Genomic DNA, 20636 nt, shown 5'->3' with positions numbered 1-20636 from the left:
ACCAGATGGAAGGTGGTTTCACCCAAGCTTCTGGGGAGCGATGGGGGTGAGGCAGGGAATGGCATCCTTGAGGTCTGTCTCGAGGTTGCCTTCCATCTTGCCCTCTTCATTTTCTTCTCCACAAGCATCTAGGGCACTCTTTTCCAGGGTGAATCAGGTCACCTCCCTCCCCAGCTTAAAGCCCCCATCACTTAGAATGAAATTCAAATCACAGGCAGGGCCTACAAGGCCCCTGTGATCTGGTCCCACCCACCCCTAACCTCAACTTCTCCCACCTTTTTTTTCTTGGCTGTACACCAAGGACAGTAGCTTCATTTTTGATGCCTCAAAGCTCCTTCCTACCTCAGGGCCCTTGGTGTTTTCTAGAACATCCTTCCTGTAGCTCTACAGGTCTCTGCTCCAAGGGGGCACCCATGAACATCTCATCTGGCCTCCACCTGCAGTCTCTCCCTAATTCTATTATCTTGTTATTCCCTTACAACTCCTGTAACAATTTTGCATTTCTTATTTTATTTTATTTTTTTTCTGAGATGGAGTCTAGCCCTGTTGCTCAGTGCTAGACAGTTGATCATGCAATGGTGTGATTGCGGCTCACTGCAACTTCTGCCTCCCAGGTTCAAGCGATTCTCATGCCTCAGCCTCCCCAGTAGCTGAGATTACAGGTGCGTGTCACCATGCCCGGCTAATTTTTGTATTTTTAGCAGAGTTGGGGTTTTACCAAGCTGGCCAGGCTGGTCTCAAACTCCTGACATCAGGTGATCTGCCTGCTTCGGCCACCCAAAGTGCTACAGGTGTGAGCCACTGTGCCCAGCCAATTTTTTTATTATTTTATTTTATTTTTAGAGACATAGTCTTGCTCTGTCATCCATGCTGGACTGCAATGGCACAATTTTGGCTCACTGCAACTTCTGCCTCCTGGATTCAAGCTATTCTCCTGCCTCCCAGTAGCTGGGATTACAGACACTCACTACCAGTCCCATCTAATTTTTTGTATTATTAGTAGAGATAGGGTTTTGCCACGTTGGCCATGGTTGGTCTCGAACTCCTGACCTCAAGTGATCCACCCGTCTCAGCCTTCCAAAGTGCTGGGATTACAGGTGTGGGCCACCATGCCTGGCCTATTTTATTTGTGTATTGTTTGCTTGTTTATTGTCTGTCTTTCTCCCTGGACTGTGAGCTCCATGAGGCAGGACCTCCTTTGCTGAATCTCAGAGGTAGAGCCTCGAGGGCCCTGTGGGTAGCATGAAGACACAAATGGCCAACCGGCAGTAGACAGGTTGATGCAAAGCCTAGACCCAGTGCTGGAGGAGGCAATGCCCTGGGATGGAGCACAGCTTCTTTCAATCCCAATTTCTGCATATGTGAAAAGGGAATGATAAAATTACTTCTCAGAGTTGGAAGGACAATTACATAAGGGACCCAGCACAGTGTTTCAAATGTAGTTGGAACCAGATAATTACTGGACTTGCCTGATTAACTCTTCTCAGAGGACCAGCTCCTCAGAATCTTCTCCCCAGTCCCCCAAATCCCACATTCATTTCTTTTATGTTCCCTATAAAAATATTCCAGAGGTATACAGGTCTTTTAGTGAAGCTGTGGAATTTTCCATCGGGGGTCAGATACTGAGGACAATGGTGAAATTACCCAGCTTCAGTGATCATTCCCAGGGTTTATGTGGAGCTAGTCAACTCACCTCCAGCAACATTTCTGGAAATGAACTCACTGCTTCTGCTCCTCCTCCCCCGATAAGCTCTCTGCCTTGGTGAAAGATGTGGAGATTTCTAGCACCCTCACTCCCACCAACTTCACATCCTCCTCCACTTCACCTACCCACTCATTCATTCACTCACTCACTCATTCATTCAATAGCTAACCTTTGTTTTTTGTTATTTATTTATTTATTTTGAGATGGAGTTTCACTCTTTCGCCGAGGGTGGAGTGCAGTGGCACGATCTCAGCTCACTGCAACCTCTGCCTCCTGGGTTCAAGCGATTCTCCTGCCTCAGCCTCCCGAGTAGCTGGGATTACAGGCATGCGCCACCACGCCTGGCTAATTTGTGTATTTTTAGTAGAGACGTGGTTTCGTCATGTTGGCCAGGCTGGTCTCGAACTCCTGACCTCAGGTGATCCACCCTCTTCAGCCTCCCAGACTGCTAGGATTATAGGTGTGAGCCACTGTGCCTAGCCAACATTTGTTTAATATCTTTTGCGTGACAGCGCAGGGCTGGAATCATAGCTAGCTTGTTTTGAAGTCCTGTGAATTAGGTGTCAATGATGATAATAATATCAACAATAATATCGGACATTTATTGAGCATTTCCTCCACCGAGAGATATGTGAATATAATACGGAGGTTGGCACACTCTTTCTGTAAAGGAACAGACAGAAATATTTTAGGGGCCGGGCATGGTGGCTCATGCCTGTAATACCAACACTTTGGCAGGCCAGGGCGGGAGGATGGCTTGAGCCCAGGAGTTCAGCTTTGGCAACATGATAAGACATTGTCTCTACAGAAAAATTAGGCCAGGCTGGGCGCGGTGGCTCACTCCTGTAATCCCAGTACTTTGGGAGGCTGAGGTGGGCAGATCACGAGGTCAGGAGATTGAGAACATCCTCGCTAACACGGTGAAACCCCGTCTCTACTAAAAAATACAAAAAATTAGCCAGGCATGGTGGCGGGTGCCTGTAGTCCCAGCTACTTGGGAGGCTGAGACAGGAGAATGGCGTGAACCCGGGAGGCGGAGCTTGCAGTGAGCCGAGATTGTGCCACTGCACTCCAGCCTGGGCGACAGAGCGAGACTCCGTCTCAAAAAAAAAAAAAAAAAAAAGAGAAAAGAAAAATTAGGCCAGGCTCAGTGACTCACACCTGTAATCCCAGCACTTTGGGAGGCCAAGGTGGACAGATCACTTGAGGTCAGGAGTTTGAGAACAGCCTGGTCAACATGGTGAGACCCCGTCTCTATTAAAACTACAAAAATTAGCCTGGCATGGTGGTGTGCACCTGTAATCCCAGCTACTTGGGTGGCTGAGGCAGGAGAATCAGGCTTAAACCTGGGAGGAGGAGGAGGTTCTAGTGAGCCAAGATGGCACCACTGCATTCCAGCCTGGGCAACAGAGTGAGACTCTGCCTCAAAAAAATAAAAATAAAAAATTAGGCCAGGCACAGTGGCTCACACCTGTAATCCCAGCACTTTGGGAGGCAGAGGCGGGCAGATCACCTGAGGTCAGGAGTTTGCAACCAGCCTGGCCAATATCGTGAAACCCCGTCTCTACTAAAAATACAAAAATTAGCCAGGCGTAGAGGTGGGTGCCTGTAGTCCCAGCTACTCAGGAAGCTGAGGCAGGAGAATCGTTTGAACCTGGGAGGCAGAGGTTGCAGTGAGCCAAGATCGTGCCACTACACTGCATCCTGGGCAACAGAGCGAGACTCCGTCTAAAAAAACAACAAAAAAAAATTAGCCACGCACGGTAGTGTGCCTATAGTCTCACTACATGGTAGGCTGAGGTAGGAGAACCGCTTAAGCCCAGGAGGTTGAGACTGCAGAACCATGTTTGTGCCACTGCGCTCCAGCCTGAGTGATGGAGTGACACCCTATCTCAAAAAAGAAAGTAAGAAAGAAAGAAAGAAAGAGAGAAAGAGAGAAAGGAGAAAAGGAAAGAAGGAGAGGAAGGAAAGAAGGAAGGAAGGAAGGAAAGGGAAGATTTTAGGTTTTACAGACCAAGAGGCACAATCAAGAATATGATGTAGGTACACAAGTGAGAAAACAAATTTTCACAAATTTGCAATTGATGAAATTCAAAATATAATAACAATTTAATTTTCTCCTAATATAGGTCTACTAATGAGAAGAATGGAATTCTTTTAGAGGGGATGACATGTTGGTTAACTGGGATTCAAAGTAAATGTTCATCATCAAATAGATTGAAATGTTCATCTCTAAAGCCCACTGTTAGCTCGAAGGTCATACAAAGACAAGTGGTGGGCTGGATTTGGCTCAGGGGCTGACACCCAGTATGGTCCTGAGGCGGTGGCCTAGTTCTATAGCTGAATCTTGGTCATTACTTTCTATACCTCAAAGTTCTCATCTGGAAAATGCATCTGTTAATAATAGTAATTATCCCATGGGGTAAACGATTAGATACAAGCAAAGTGGTTCGGACAGCGTCTGGTCCTACGTGACCAATTCTATAAAGCCCTTCTTTTTTTTTTTTTTTTTTTGGAGACAGAGTCTCGCTCTGTAGCCTGGGCTGGATCCAGGCTGGAGTACAGTGGCGTGATCTTGGCTCACTGCTACCTCTGCCTCTCGGGTTCAAGTGATTCTCCTGCCACAGCCTCCCGAGTAGCTGGGATTACAGGAGCGCACCACCACGCCCAGCTAATTTTTGTATTTTTAGTAGAGACGGGGTTTCACCATGTTGGCCAGGCTGGTCTTGAACTCCTGACCTTGTGATCCACCCACCTCGGCCTCCCAAAGTGCTGGGATTACCGGCGTGAGCCACCGCGCCCGGCCCATAAACCTGTTTCTTATCTGACCCAATCCTCAGCCCTGTCACCGACCCCCAACACTTCCTCAGTGTCTTCTGGTTCGTCATGGCAAAGTCTCCTTTATCCTCACTTTTTTTTTGGAATGTTCTTGCCCTAATTGGCCCTTGGTTCTCCCCTGGGGACACTGCTTCTCCCCCAGCTCTCTCCAGGGGCTCTGTTTCCCTCTGTCACCCTGGTGCACTGACTGGAGTTGGGCTAAGTGAGTTTCTTGCCTCTTGAGGCCTCAATTATCCATTCTTCCTCCCCAAAGCATTCAGCTGAGACTCAGAAGCTCAGACTCACCTGTTCTTGTCTATGCCCCCTCCTCATTGCCTCTTCTGCAGACCCGAGAGCCTACTCCTCAGTTCCTAAAGACACTGTCACCCGACTGTCTTGCTCACCTACAATACTTCTTGACATTTTCAGTATTTGGTAAGATGACCCTTTGATACCTCAGCTGCTCAGCTCCTTGTCCTCCTCTCCATGAGGCTCCTGTCATCCACCCCACCTGAGCAGGTGCTCCATACCCTCATCCTTTCCAGCCACGACATCGGCTCCACCATCTCAATTTCAAGCATCTTTTCCTCCGACTATCCCCTAAAATCTTTCTGGCTTTGTCCCTTTGGGACCCCAAGTCCAACAATCGCTTGATTTTCCCCCAACCTCCATGCTCACAAACCTGTTTTACTCCTCTTCACTTCTTCCTGCTCTGCCTCTCTTACCAGGCCTTGAGTCTAGGGTCCATCATTGTAATCCCCCACATTCAGCCTCAGTGCCCCTGTTCTTTTATTCTCTGTTGTACTTGCTTGGCTAAACCCCATTCCTTTTCAATCCAACTCTTAGTCCATTCTGCACTTGGACAGGTACCACTGAAAATGTCTGAGGGAAAAAAAAAAGCACTACCACAGCTAACTGGTTTCCCTTCAAATGCATGACCATAGCCAGGTGCCGAACCTCATGCCTGTCATCCCAGGACTTTGGCAAGAGGACCACTTGAGGCCAGGAGTTCAAGACCAGCCTGAGCAACATAGCGAGACCCTGTCTCTACAAAAAATAAAAAAATTAGCCAGGTGTGGTGTTGTGCACCTGTAGTCCCAGCTACTCAGGAGGCTAAGGATGGAGGATTGCTTGAGCCTGGGAGGTGGAGGCTGCCGTGAGCCATGATCGCACCACTCCAACCTGAGCAACAGAGCAAATCCCTCTGAAAAAAAAAATATATAAATATCTATTTAAATATATATATATATATATATATATATATATATATATATATATATAATTTTAAGAAAAATGAAGAAATAGGCCGGGCGTCCACTCACGCCTGTAATTCCAGCACTTTGGGAGGTCAAGGTGGGCAGATTACCCAAGGACAGGACTTCAAGACCAGCCTGACCAACATGGTGAAACCCCGTCTCTACTGAAAATACAAAATTAGCTGAGGCAGGAGAATGGTGTGAACCCAGGAGGCGGAGCTTGCAGTGAGCCGAGATGGCACCACTGCACTGCAACCTGGGCAACAGAGAGAGAGACTCTGTCTCAAAAAAAAAAAACAAAAAAACAAAATTAGCTGGGCGTGGTGGCACAGGCTTGTAATCCCAGCTACTCGGGAGGCTGAGGCAGGAGAATCGCTTGAACCCGGCAGGCAGAGGTTGCAGTGAGCCGAGATCATGCCATTGCACTCCAGTCTGGGCAATGAGAGTGAAACTCCATCTCAAGAAAAAGAAAAGAAAGAAAAGAAAAGAAGAAAAGAAAAGAAAAGAGGGAGGGAGAGAAGGAAGGAAAGAAGGAACAAAGGAAAGAAGGAGGGAAGGAGAGAGAAGAAGGAGGGAAGGAAGGAAGGAAAGAAGGAAGGAAGGAAGAGAAAAGAAAAAGAAAAGAAAGAAGAAAGAAAAGAAAGAAGAAAGAAAGAAAAGAAAGAAGAAAGAAAAAGAAGAAAGGAAGAAAGAAAGAAGAAAAGAAAAGAAAGAAAGAAAGAAATGCATGAGCGCCCACATGGACCCAGCCACCCCACTACATTTCCCTCCTTCATTCTTTCTCTTTCTCTCCTGGAAGACTTTTACCCCTTTCTTTCTCTCTTCTAACACTCAGCATCCTCTTCCCTTCCTTACTCTTGTTTCTAATTTCACTAATGTAATAGACACAATAGAGGCAATCAGTAGTGAACTCCCACACATTCCCAAGCTAAATTAACCTACCTGCCTTGAACTGCACCCAACTATTCTGCCTTCCCTGCTATTGCAGCGGATGAACTATGTTACCATGTCATAGGCCAGCACTCCATCTCTTCCTTTTTTAAAGAATTTTTAAAAATTTTTAAATAAAATATAAAAGGCTCATGCCTATAATCCCAGCACTTTGGGAGGCCAAGGTGGGCGGATCACTTGAGGCCAAGAGTTAAAGACCAGCCTGGACAAACCGCGTCTGTACCAAAAACTACAAAAAAAGTAGCCAGGCTTGGTGGCACGTGCCTGTAATCCCAGCTACTCAGGAGGCTGAGGCAGGAGAATCACTTGCACCCGGGAGGCAGAGGTTTCAGTGAGCTGATATGCGCCACTGCAGTCCAGCCTGGGCAATAGAGTAAGACTCTGTCTGAAAACTAAAATAAAGTAAAATAAAATAGGCTAGGTGCGGTGACTCGTGCCTGTAATTCTAGCACTTTGGAAGGCCAAGGTGAACAAATCACTTAAGGTCAGGAGTTCGAGACCAGCCTGGCCAACATGGTGAAACCTCATCTCTGCAAAAAATATAAAAATTAGCTGGGTGTGGGCCGGGCGTGGTGGCTCACGCTTGTAATCTCAGCACTTTGGGAGGCTGAGGCGGGCAGATCATGAGGTCAGGAGACCAAGACCGTCCTGGCTAACACAGTGAAACCTCGTCTCTACTAAAAATACAAAAAAATTAGCCAGGCGTGGTGGCGGGTGCCTGTAGTCCAAGCTACTCGGGAGGCTGAGGCAGGAGAATGGCATGAACCCGGGAAGGTGGAGGTTGCAGTGAGCCGAGATCCCGCCACTGTACTCCAGCCTGAGCAGCAGAGTGAGACTCCGTCTCAAAAAAAAAAAAAAAAAAAAAAAAAAAAAAGGCCAGGCGCGGTGGCTCATGCCTGTAATCCCAGCAATTTGGGAGGCTGAGGTGGGTGAATCATGAGGTCAGGAGATCAAGACCATCCTGGCTAACATGGTGAAACCCCGTCTCTACTAAAAATACAAAAAAATTAGCCGGGCATGGTGGCGGGCGCCTGTAGTTCCAGTTACTCGGGAGGCTGAGGCAGGAGAATGGCGTGAACCTGGGAGGCAGAGGTTGCAGTGAGCCGAGATTGCGCCATTGCACTCGAGCCTAGGTGACAGAGTGAGACTCTGTCTCAAAAAACAAAATAAATAAATAAAAAATTAGCTGGGTGTGGTGGTGCACGCCTATAATCCTGGCTACTGGCGAGGCTGAGGCAGAAGAATTGCTTGAACCCGGGGGGCAGAGGTTGCAGTGAGCCGAGATTGCGCCATTGCACTCGAGCCTAGGTGACAGAGTGAGACTCTGTCTCAAAAAAATAATAATAAAATAAATTGAGACACAGTCACCTTATGTTGCCCAGGCTGGTCTCGAATTCCTGGGCTCAAGGGATCTCCCTGCCTCGGCCCCCCGAGTTGCTGTGACTACAGGCATGAGCAGCCACCATGCCCAGCTCTTTCCTACTTTCCTGAGATCACTACAGATGAACCAACTTACAATGGTTCAATTTAAGATTTTTCAATTTTACAGTGGTACAAGGGCAATTAGTACATTCAGTAGAAACTGTACTTCAAGTACTCACAACCATTTTGCTTTTCAGTTTAGTACAGTATTCAATAAATTACATGAGCTATTTAACATTTTATTATAAAATAGGCTTTGTGTTAGATGACTTTGCCCAACTGTGGACTAATGTAAGTGTTTTGAGCATGTTGAAGGTACGCTAAACTGTAATGTTTGGTAGGTTAGGTGTATTCAATGCATTTTTTTTAAGACAGTCTCTCTCTGTCACTCAGGCTGGAGTGCAGTGGCGTGATCTCAGCTCACACCAACCTCTGTCTCCCAGGTTCAAGCAATTCTCGTCCCTCAGCCTCCAAAGTAGCTGGGATCACAGGTGTGCGCTACCAAGCCTGACTATTTTTTTTTTTTTGAGACGGAGTCTCGCTCTTTCTTGTTGCCCAGGCTGGAGTACAGTGGCACAATCTCGGCTCACTGCAAGCTCTGCCTCCTGGGTTCAAACAATTCTCCTGCCTCAGCCTCCCAAGTAGCTGGGATTACAGGTGACCACCACCACGTCCAGCTAATTTTTGTATTTTTAGTAGAGACGGGGTTTCACCATGTTATCCAGGCTGGTCTTGAACTCCTGACCTCGTGATCCACCTGCCTGGGCCTCCCAAAGTGCTGGGATTACAGGCGTGAGCCATTGAGCCTGGCCAAGCCTGACTAATTTTTGTATTTTTAGTAGAGACGGAGTTTTGCCATGTTGGCCAGGCTGGTCTCAAACTCCTGGCCTCAAGTGATCCACCCGCCTAGGCCTCTAAATGCATTTTCAGTTTATTATATTTTCAACTTACAGTGGGTTTATCGGGACGTAAACCCATCAGAAGTCAAGGAGCATCTGTACTCTGTAATTGTTCCCTTTCTCTCCTGCATCATCAACATTTCCTCTTCCCTCGGATCCTTCCAACGTCATCCAGCACTTGCTATGTTATCTCCCTCACACTCATATTCACCCTGATGCTCCCCACTCCCCACTCACCATGAGACAGTTTTAAAAGAATTGACCCTAAAGAGTTCGCCATCTCCTCTCATCCTTCCCCAACCCTCTCCAATCAGCTGTTGCCCCTAGGTATCCCCAGGCATCTTCTTAATGACTAGTTGTCTCTGTGTTGCCAAACCCAACACTCAGTTCCAATGCTTGTCTGCCTTGACACATCAGTGTCATGTTTGGACAGTGAGTCCCTGCCTCCCTGTGAAGCACGTTCCTCTCTTGGCTTCCTGGACTGCTCTCTCTGTCATCCTGATTCACTGGCTGCTCTTTCTCTGCACCTATGTATTTTTCTCCTCAACTTCCCTCCTGTAAACCCAGGAGTTCCCCAGGCCTCATCCTTGCTCTTTTCTCTTCCCTATCTCCATTCACTGCCTAGATGATCTCAGCCAGTTTCTCGGCTTCAAAAACCATCTCATACTGATGTCAACAGCCTGCTGGTCCTTGCCTCTGAACTTTAGACTGGTGTCTCCAACTGTTGATCTAACTTTTCCACTTGAATGTCTAATTGGCAAATCAAACCTAACATGTTCCAAACGAGTTCTGAAGCACCCCCTCTGCCAAATCTACGTCTCCCACAGCCTTCCCTATTTCTCTACCTGGTACCTGCAACCTTTTGGATGCTCAGGCTGAAAATCTAGGCGTCATCCTTGACCCCTGTGTCTTATACCTGCATCCGATCAGTTTGCAAGTTCTATCAGCCACATGATCACAATGAATTCCCCACATCTCTGTTTTATCTCTCCCACCCCTGCCACTTCCACCTTGGTCCAAGCTCCATTTTCTCATTCCTGGACTACTGCAAGAGCGTCCTCACTGCTCTCCCCACATCCATCCTATCCCCCACCTACTTGGGTCTATAACCTCCCTCAGAGTTCTCCTAAAACCTAGGAAAATCCTGTCATTCCCCTGCTCAAAACACTCTGACAGCCTTTCATGTCACCAAAAAAAAAAAAAAAAAAAAAAAAGCAAAGTTCTTTTTTTTTTTTTTTTCTGAGACAGAGTCTCCCTCTGTCGCCCAGGCTGAAGTACAGTGGCGCAGTCTTGGCTCACTGCAACCTCTGCCTCCCAGGTTCAAGCGGTTATCCTGCCTCAACCTCCTGAGTAGCTGGGACTACAGGCGCGTGCCACCACACCCAGTTAATTTTTTGTGTTTTTAGTAGAGAAGGGGTTTCACCGTGTTAGCCAGGATGGCCTCAATCTCCTGACCTCGTGATACACCTGCCTCAGCCTCCCAAAGTGCTGGGATTACAGGTGTGAGCCACTGTGCCCAGCCCTAGCAAAATTCTTAAAAACAAAACAAAACAAAAAAACCGGGGTGGGGAGGGCTGTCCTATCGCTAATTGACTTGGCAGACATATTAAGATGAAACCTATCTAAATATTTCAACTCTTACGTTTTTTGATTTTAGAGATCCAGGTCTCACTATGTTGCCCAGGCTGGGTCACTGTGGCTATTCACAGGCACGATTGTGGGGTATACATCTTTCAACTCCTGGGCTCAAGTGATCCTCCTACCTCACCCTCCCCAGTAGCTGGTACTACAGGCATGTGCCACCATGCTTGGTTCCCTTAGACATTTTTGCTGCAGGACAATTAAGAATTTATTTATTGGCCGGGCGCGGTGGCTCATGCCTGTAATCCCAGCACTTTGGGAGGCCGAGGTGGGCGGATCACAAGGTCAGGAGTTCGAGATCAGCCTGGCCAACATAGCGAAACTCCATCTCTACTAAAAATACAAAAATTAGCCGGGTGTGTTGGCACGCGCGTATAGTCCCGGCTACTTGGGAGGTGGAGGCGGGAGAATCGCTTGAACCTGGGAGGTGGAGGCTGCAGTGAGCTGAGAAGACGCCATTGTACTCCAGTCTGGGTGACAGAGTGAGACTCCGTCTCAAACAAAACAAAACAAAACAAACAAACAAACAAGAATTTATTTTTTATTATCATTATTATTTTTGAGACAGAGTCTCGCTCTGTCACCGAGGCTGGAGTGCAATGGCATTATCTCAGCTCGCTGCAACCTCCATCTCCCAGGCTCAAGCAATTCTCATGTCTCAGCCTCCTGAGTAAGCTGGGCTTACAGGTGTGTGCCACCATGCCCGGCTAATTTTTGTATTTTTAATAGAGACAGGGTTTCGCCATGTTGGCCAGGCTGGTCTCAAACTCCTGACCTCAGGTGATCCACCTGCCTCGGCCTCCCAAAGTGCTGGGATTACAGGCGTGAGCCACCATGCCCAGCCTGACAATTAAGAATTTATTAAGCATTCTACTACTAATCACTCCTTTTGAGTATTTCTTAAGCCTTAAAATTTTCGAGCAGTTATATGGATCTCTATTTGGTAAGCTGCCACTACGAGATGACATTTAAAATAAGTGGAAATGCGGTGGCTCACGCCTGTAATCCCAGCACTTTGGGAGGCCGAGGCAGGCGGATCACCTGAGATCGGGAGTTCAAGACCAGACCAGCCAACATGGTGAAACCCCGTCTCTACTAAAACTATAAAAATTGGCTGAGTGTGGTGGCACACGCCTATAATCCCAGCTACTGGGGAATCTGAGACAGGAAAATCGCTTGAACCTGGGAGGCGGAGGTTGCAGTGAGCTGAGATCATGCCACTGCACTCCAGCCTGGGCGACAGAGCAAAACTGCATCTCAGAAAAATAAATACATAAATAAATTTCATATTATGGATATTTAACCACAATAAAAAAAATAGGAAAACAAAGTATCTAGAGCCATGATCTCTAAGGTCATATGTCCTCTGCCCCTATTACTCCTCACTCACTCCACCCCAGCCCCACTGGCCTTTTTCTGGTTCCTCAAACACGCCAAGCACGTTCCTGCCTCAAGGCCTTTGCATTGTCTGTTGCCTCTGTCTGGAATGCAATTCCCACAGATCTATATGACTTTCTCCCTCACCTCCTTCATGTCTCGGCCACTTGTCTCCTTTTCAGTGAAGCCTTTCCTGATCACCCTACAAGAAAAGCATCCACTGATGGCCTCTGTCCTTTTACCTTGCTTTGTCTTCAAAGCACGTGCTCCTAGATGCTGTTCATTAAAGATATTTGCTTATGCAATGCAATTTGTTTATGCAACGGTGAATGAGATGAATATGGCCCCTTCTGTCACGGAATGCTTATTCTGGAAAAGAATATGTTCTAAATCATGTCTTTCGTGTTTCCATCCCATCCTAGCCATATTCTAGGCAGAGTCAATGTACCATAGACCACCATTGGCCCACAGGCTAACATTTTTGCAAAAGCCAACAATTTTGACATTAAACTTTTAGACATTTTAGGCTGAACTACTTAAGGTTTTTCATGTCTAAATTCCCAGCACTGGGTGAGCTCAAGGCCCTGTGCATAGCAGACAAAATTATTACTCCTTGAATGAATGAATGATCAAATAAATGACCATGTAAATTAAATAACTCCGACTCCAAAACTATCATGTATGTTGTGCGTCTGCTTAATATTATGAGAAAGCTTAAACATTCCTGCTGTACCCTGAAATAATTCATGTGGTAATAGATGTTTCCTAAACACTAATTATATGCCAGGGGCTTCACACAAATCATTTCTGATTTTTGCAGCGAAGCCACAAGCAGCGATTACCCTCCCCATTGACTAGGGAAGAAATCAAGGCATAGAGAGGTTGAGAACCTGGAGGAAATTATCCAGCCCAGATGGAAACTGCCAAGAAGCAAGATCTACATCTGGGTCTGTCTGACTGTGCTTGTCGACTCTGCTGTCTTTAAGAAATTAACTTGCAGATCATTTGGAGAGTGAAGAAAGGGAGATGACTCCTTTCTTATTCTCTGTGTTTAACTCTTGTTCTGTTTCCTAGGGGTTTATGCCTTCTGTTTTGGTTTTTCCCTTTATTCCTCTACATTTATCATCCTCCTTTGTTTTTCTTCTTCTTCAGCATTTGCTCTCTTCTCTTCTCGCCTACCCAGTTGGCTTTTCTCTCTTTCCCTCCATTTCTCTCTTTAGTTACCCACACCAGACTAGGGCCAAGTCATTTGTTTACTTGAGCGTCTGAGCGAGAAAAGAAGTTTAAAATCTCTCCACACATTAAAACAAAGAAAAGAACATTTTATATTCCCTTTCATGGTCAAAAGATGATCCTTTCTTCCCCTTCACAGAATCCATTTAGGTGTTTATAGAGCAGTTATCTTAACAATGACTGTCCTTTGCTTTTCTCTGTGTTCCAATTAACATTCTTAATTGCCTCGTTCTAAACGTCTCACTTTTTGTGTGTTGCCTAGAGTTCTCTGACAAGTTTATTTTTAATTATAATTTATATTGCAAAGCCGGATAGATATTTATAACAGTCAACTTTCCATTGTGCCGCGCTTTTAGCTCTTTAAGCTTTGTTATAATAAAGTTTGCAGCGAATTTGAAGAAGCGCCTTCTCAGTAATAGTTTTTAAACATAGAGTTTACAATAGGCACTTTTTAGGGGACTAAGGGGTTGGATTTGTGCCTGGTAGATAACAAAAAAAAATTTTCTTTTAAGGCAAGAGAAAACTTTTAAGAAGGGTTTTGGACGCCAGTACAGAAATATTTAAGTAAAGAGTGAATCAGACTTATGTAAAAAGGAAATGAAAAGGAAAGCATTTCTAGCAGAAAAAAAAATGTTCAATCAATTGAACCTTTGACTTGTTTTTGAAAATCTATACATTTCTGCTGTCCAGTTACGCAATATGTGAGTGTCCCGATAAGCATGTTTATGAGATGACCCATTTAGCTTGATCACTCATGTTACTGAGGCCCTGGTCTTGCACAAGAGCCTACAAAAGGAGTAAGATAGTATTTGAAAAAAGCTCTCAAAGGGCTGTGAATCTGTGAAATTCATTTCAACATTCACTTCAGAAAGACTCAAGATGGTAGGCCTTAAGGCAAGAAATCCAAAATTTGGACAGAGCCGTCTATGAGCAAAGACGTTCCCTGAAATGTTACTAAAGTAAAGACAAAGATCTCAAATACTCAACAGGGGTTGGTTAAGTGAATTAAAGGTTCATCCACAGAGTGAAAAAATAACAAAACACATTTACAAAGATTTCTTTCAATGCGGCAGGAGAATCTTATGATAGCCCATTCAGTGAAATAAACAGAATTCCAAAATGTTATCTTTCTCTAATCTGCAGGCGGAGAAGTAGATAAATTACTCAAATCATCACATGAGTGAATATAAGACGGTAATTGTGCAATCTTTGAGGGAAAGGGTCGAAATGCTGAAGTTTGATTTAGTTGGGAAGGTTAAGAAGCCTCCCCTGGAGAAGATAAGAGGATTTGATTGTGACTTAATACTTTTTAGAAAGGACTTTACTATTTTTTTTTTTAATGGTATTAGTTAGGTGCTAATATAGCCTTGAAATCATATTACCTGTAAGCCTCGTTTCTCATCTCTGGCACCGTTGACCTTTTGGGTCAGCTATTCCTTTGTTGTGGAGGTTATCCTGGGCATTGTAGGATCTTAAGCATGACCCCGGGCCTCTACCTACTAGACAGTAGTGACAACCGAAAATGTCTCTAGACATTGCCAAATGTCCCCTGGTGGGGGAAAAGGCACATTGTTCCCATTAAGAACTGCTGCTGTGGACTTAGAGAACCAACATTCTCGACTGTATGTGTGTGCCTGAGATTGACCGAAAGACTGCATGCTTGGACTAGCATGAGTTTCAAGCGACTGAGGAGTAAAAAAAGCTAGTCACACAAACTATTTTATTTATTTATTTTTTTTGAGACGGAGTCTCGCTCTGTCACCCAGGCTGGAGTGCAGTGGCACGATCTCGGCTCACTGCAAGCTCCGCCTCCCAGGTTCAAACGATTCTCCTGCCTCAGCCTCCCGAGTAGCTGGGACTACAGGGGCCCGCCACCAAGCCCGGCTAATTTTTGTATTTTTAGTAGAGACAGGGTTTCACCGTGTTAGCCAGGATGGTCTCGATCTCCTGACCTCGTGATCCACCCACCTCGGCCTCCCAAAGTGCTGGGATTACAGGAGTGAGCCACCATGCCCGGCCAAATCTTTTATTCTTAATCCATTTAGTCTTTAACCAGCAAACTTACAGAAGAAAGTATCATTTCTGACAATTCACTCTTGCTTTAATAAGCTTGTTGGAAATTTTTTTTTTTTTTTTTTTTTTTTTTGGAGACGGAGTTTCGCTCTTGTCGTCCAGGCTGGAGTGCAATGGCATGATCTTGGCTTACTGCAACCGCCGCCTCCCGGGTTCAAGTGATTCTCCTGCCTCAGCCTCCCAAGTAGCTGGGATTACAGGCGCCCGCTACCATGCCTGCTAATTTTTTTTTTGTTAAGTAGAGACAGGGTTTCACCATGTTGGCCAGGCTGGTCTCGAACTCCTGACCTCAGATGCCCCACCCACCTCGGCCTCCCAAATATTGGGATTACAGGTGTGAGCCACCACGCCCAGACAGAATTTTTTTGTTTCTTTGAGACAGAGTCTTACTCTGTCCCAGGCTGGAGTGCTGTTGCGCGATCTCGGCTCATTGCAACCTCTGCCTCCTGGGTTCAAGCAATTCTCCTGCCTCAGCCTTCTGAGTAGCTGGGATTACAGGCGCAAACCACCACGTCTGGCTAATTTTTGTATTTTTAGTAGAGACAGGGTTTTACCATGTTGGCCAGGCTGTCTCGAACTTCTGACCTCGTGATCTGCTGGCCTCGACCTCCCAAAGTGTTGGGATTACAGGCGTGAGCCATTGTGCCAGGCCCTTTTTTGTTTGTTTGTTTTTTAAGACTGACTCTCACTCTGTTGCCCAGGCTGGAGTGCAGTGGCATGAACAAGGCTCGCTGCAGCCTCAAACTCCTGGGCTCAATCAATCCTTCCACCTCAGTCTCCTGAGTAGCTGGAACTACAGGTACACACCACCATGCCTGATTAATTTATTTGTTTGTTTTGTTTTGTTTTTCTGAAACAGGGTCTCGCTCCGTCACCCAGGCTGGAATGCAGTGGCACGATAACAGCTCACCGCAGCCTCGACTTCTCCAGGCTCAGGTGATCTCCCACCTCAGCCTCCAGAGTAGCTGGGACTATAGGTGCGTGCCACCATGCCTGGCTAATTTTTTTGTGGTTTATTTTCTGTAGAGATGGGGACTCCCTATGTTGTCCAGGCTGCTCTCAAACTCCTGGGCTGGGCTCAAGCAGTCCTCTGGTCTCAGCCTCCTAAAGTGCTAGAATACAGGTATGAGCCACGGTGTCTGGCCTGGAATATTTTTACCTTTTTTTTTTTTTTTTGAATACACAGTTGTAGGCTTCAATACATCAGCTGCAACTAAGAAGACTAATTGGAGCTAGAAATTGTTCAATACCAATTTGGAATTGATGAAATGGCAACAAGCAGAGAGATATTAAAATGGGGGAAATATCATCAGTTAAGTGGTGATTATTGCAATTAGCCAACTTTGCGAACATAAATCGTCCCAGCAGAAGGGCTCTGGGCCAGGACACTCAGAAAAGTGGACATTTGGCCCCATAATAAAACAGTCCCATTGAATTACAAGCATGATTTTGGAGGCAATTTTAGCTTAACTTCTAAATCTCTAGAATTTGAAGAGTGCCTTCCAGACATCAAGCCTTCCATTTGGGGTAGGCAGATATCAAATGTACTATGATACATAAAAGTCCATAGACTCTAAGACGTTGGTCCATGTTAAGATACTTCCCAAATCCAACCCTTACATTTCCCAAATTGAAGCAGCTGTGGTTACCAAGTCAGTCGACTTTGCTTCCTGGCATGAATAAACAGAGGTCCAAAGGGGCAATACTTTTGCAGTGGCAGATCATGATTTATGGGACTCAACCTCGCTACTTTAGTCATTTCGAGCTTAAGATGCTGGGAATCCCACACAGAAAAAAACACACACATAACTGTGGTCCTTTCAATGACAGGGATAGCCAAGTATGTAATTGTCTTCCTAAAAACCATTTCATGTACATATGCTTTACATATCATGAAACTCACTCACTGTGAGTGTACAGTTGAATTATTTTTAGTAAATCCATACAGTATGCAGCCATCGTGATAATCTAGTTTGTAATTGCCTTTTTTTCTCTGCAACTGTGTTAAAATACACTTAACATAAGATTTACTGTCTGACCCATCTTTAAGTGTGCTGTTTTGAAATGTTGAGTACATTGACATTGTTGAGCAACCAATTTCCAGATCTCTCTCTTTCTTTTTTCTTTTTTTTTTTTTCTTTCGAGTTGGAGTCTCGCTTTGTCTCCCAAGCTGTAGTGCAGTGGCACCATCTGGGCAACCTCCGCCTCCCAGGTTCAAGTGATTCTCCTGCCTCAGCCTCCCAAGTAGCTGGGATTGCAGGTGCCCACCACCACGCCCATTTAATTTTTGTACTTTTAGTAGAGATGGGGTTTCACCATGTTGGTCAGGGTGGTCTCGAACTCCCGAACTCATGATCCGCCTGCCTTGGCCTCCCAAAGTGCTGGGATTACAGGCGTGAGCCACCGTGCCCAGTCCAGATCTTTTAAAAAAAAAAATTATTGTGTATATTTAAGGCATACTACATGATGTTATGGGATTTATATAGATAGTAAAAAGATTACCAGTGAAGCAAATGAACCTATCCGTCTTGCATTGTTACCTGATTTTGTTTGTTTTTGTGGCAAAGCAGCTAAAATCTAAACATTTATCTAGATCCCTTTTCATCTTGCAAAACTGGAACTTCATGCCTATTGAGCAGAAACGGCCCCTCCACCCCCCACTCTCCCTCCCTCCAGCCCCTGGCAACCACCATTCTACTTTTTGTCTCTATGAATTTGACTACTCTATTTGTCCTTCTGTGACTGGCTCATTTTACTTGGCATAATGTCTTCAAGTTTCATCCATGTTGGCTGGGCATGGTGGCTCACGCCTGTAATCCCAGAACTTTGGGAGGCCGAGGCGGGCGGATCACAAGGTGAGGAGATGAAGACCATCCTGGCTAACATGGTGAAACCCCATCTCTACTAAAAAAACAAAAAATTAGCCGGGCGTGGTGGTGGGCTTCTGTAGTCCCAGCTACTCGGGAGGCTGAGGCAGGAGAATGGCGTGAACCCGGGAGGCAGAGCTTGCAGTGAGCCAAGATCGCACCACTGCACTCCTGGGTGACAGAGCGAGACTCTGTCTCAAAAAACAACAACAAAAAAACCCAAAAGAAAACAAAGATTCATCCATGTGGTACCATGTGTCAGAATTTCCTTCCTTTTTAAGGCTGAGTAATATTCCATTGTATGGATAGACTGCATTTACTTTATTCATTCATCTGTCCATGGACACTTGAGTTGTTTCCACTTTTTGGCTATTGTGAATAATTCTGCTGTGAACATGGGTATATAAATACTGCTTCGAGACCCTGCTTTCAATTCTTTTGGATATATACCCACATGTGGAATTGCTGGATCATATGGTAATCCTTTTTTACATTTGTTGAGGAACTGCCATCTAGAGTGGCTGCAGCATTTTACATTCCCACCTACTATATTGCCTTTAACACTTCATTTCATATTCAGGCCTCTAAAGTTACTCAGCATGGATTGAGTCCATCGCTATTTATTTGTTGTGACTTCTGTGTTCCATTACTGTGGCTAAGTGCTAAGGACACCGTGATGACGGTGTCTACCCTCACGGAGCCTGCAGTGTGAGAAATAAGCAATAAACAGATACATGAGAAAGTCTGTCATTATATATTTTGAAGTGCGCTATAAAAAGAAAGATATGGTTTCTTGAAGCCTGAGAGAACTAATAAATGAGACCTAGTTTGGAAGAGGGAAGGCTGGTTTAAGGAAGGGAAATTTGAAGAGATTATAGGCTTTTTAGGAGTGGGCCAGGTGAAGAGAGGCAAGCAGTGGAAAGGAAGACGATTCCTTGTAGAAAAGAGCAGAGGTGGGGTTTTCAGGGAAAGATCTGCCTTCCACTGAGACCTGTGCAAAGTTACTGAATCCATAATTTGGCATGCATTCGTTAGTACTCGCTAGGAGCTGATGGGAGCAATGAGCTTCTGTTTTTCCATAAATGAAGTAGAAATAAGCCGGACACGGTGGCTCACGTCTGTAATCCCAGCACTTTGGGAGGCTGAGGTGGGCCTCACTTGAGGTCAGGAGTTGGAGACAACTGGTGAACATGGTGAAACCCCATCTCTACTAAAAATACAAAAATTAGCCGAGTGTGGTGGCATGTGCTTATAGTCCCAGGTACTCAGGAGGCTGAGGCAGGAGAATCGCTTGAACCCAGGCAGAGGTTGCAATGAGCAGAGATCGTGCCACTGCATTCCAGCCTGGGTGACAAGAGTGGTCTGTCTCAAAAAAAAAAAAAAAAAAAAAAAGGAATTAAAAAAGGATATTAGTGAGGATAAAATGGGATTATGCATCCCAAATCTCCTTATAAACAATAAGACTGCTGAAAAATATACCAAGAAGTGTATTTTTTGAATATTCCTGCCTGGCACAAACATTGAACATGACTGGATTACATAAACATTGACAATGACTGGATTATATAAACCCAGTCACCTAACAAAGGACGTTAACATGAAAAAGTTTAATATCATCCTTTACTCTGAACATTTTCTTTTCAAGCTTGGGTCCCAACCAGGTCCTTTGGTTTAATAAATAACTTTTTTGTTGTTGTTTTTTCATGAGACAGAGTCTCACTCTGTCGCCCAGGTTGGAGTGCAGTAGCTAGATCTTGGCTCACTGCAACCACCGCCTCCTGGATTCAAGTGATTCTCCTCCGTCAGGCTCCTGAGTAGCTGGGATTACAGGCATGCGCCACCACAACCAGCTAATTTTTGTATTTTTAGTAGAGATGGAGTTTTACCGTGTTGGCCAGGCTAGTCTCGAACTCCTGACCTCTGGTGACCCGCCAGTCTTGGCCTCCCAGAGTGCTGGGATTACAGGCGTGAGACACTGTGCTCAGCCTGAAACAACTTTTGATTACGGACTTGCCTGTTGCTATGCCCTCCGTTCATCCCCTGCTTTGCTCTAGGACTTACTTTATTTTCCACCAACTGGCTCCTGGCTGCAGCTGTTAAACTGGGGGTAGATTCAAAACATGTACTGTGTCCTGCTTTTCTTGATATGACATTTGTGGAAGGTTTCCATTTGAGGGAAACTTCTTGACTTCATCTGTTGGAGTGATTTCTGAAGACCCAAGATTTTTCTAGGACACTTTAAATTTAGTTTACTGTACTCCGATTTTTCTTCTTTAGCTATCTTCTCTATATTCAGCTATAGTTGGAAGACAGGTATTAGGATGTGATAGAATTTTGGAGTCAGACTTAGAAACTGACCACCGGCTTAGAAACTGACCACCAGCTCAGCCAGTTT

At 45.4% G+C, this 20636-nt stretch overlaps 1 annotated feature.

The window, feature by feature from the left end:
* Nucleotides 13476-14348: an enhancer, noted in NCBI's record as "OCT4-NANOG-H3K27ac hESC enhancer chr20:50427387-50428259 (GRCh37/hg19 assembly coordinates)". NCBI's record gives its function as "activates a minimal SCP1, AML or CMV promoter by ChIP-STARR-seq in primed H9 embryonic stem cells {active_cell/tissue: H9 hESC(primed)}" and the evidence as "EXISTENCE:reporter gene assay evidence [ECO:0000049][PMID:30033119]".

Source organism: Homo sapiens, chromosome 20 (genome assembly GCF_000001405.40).
Source record: "Homo sapiens chromosome 20, GRCh38.p14 Primary Assembly".
NCBI lineage: Eukaryota > Metazoa > Chordata > Mammalia > Primates > Hominidae > Homo > Homo sapiens.
Note: the sequence above shows the minus strand (reverse complement) of the source record. Positions and strands in the feature narration are given on the sequence as shown.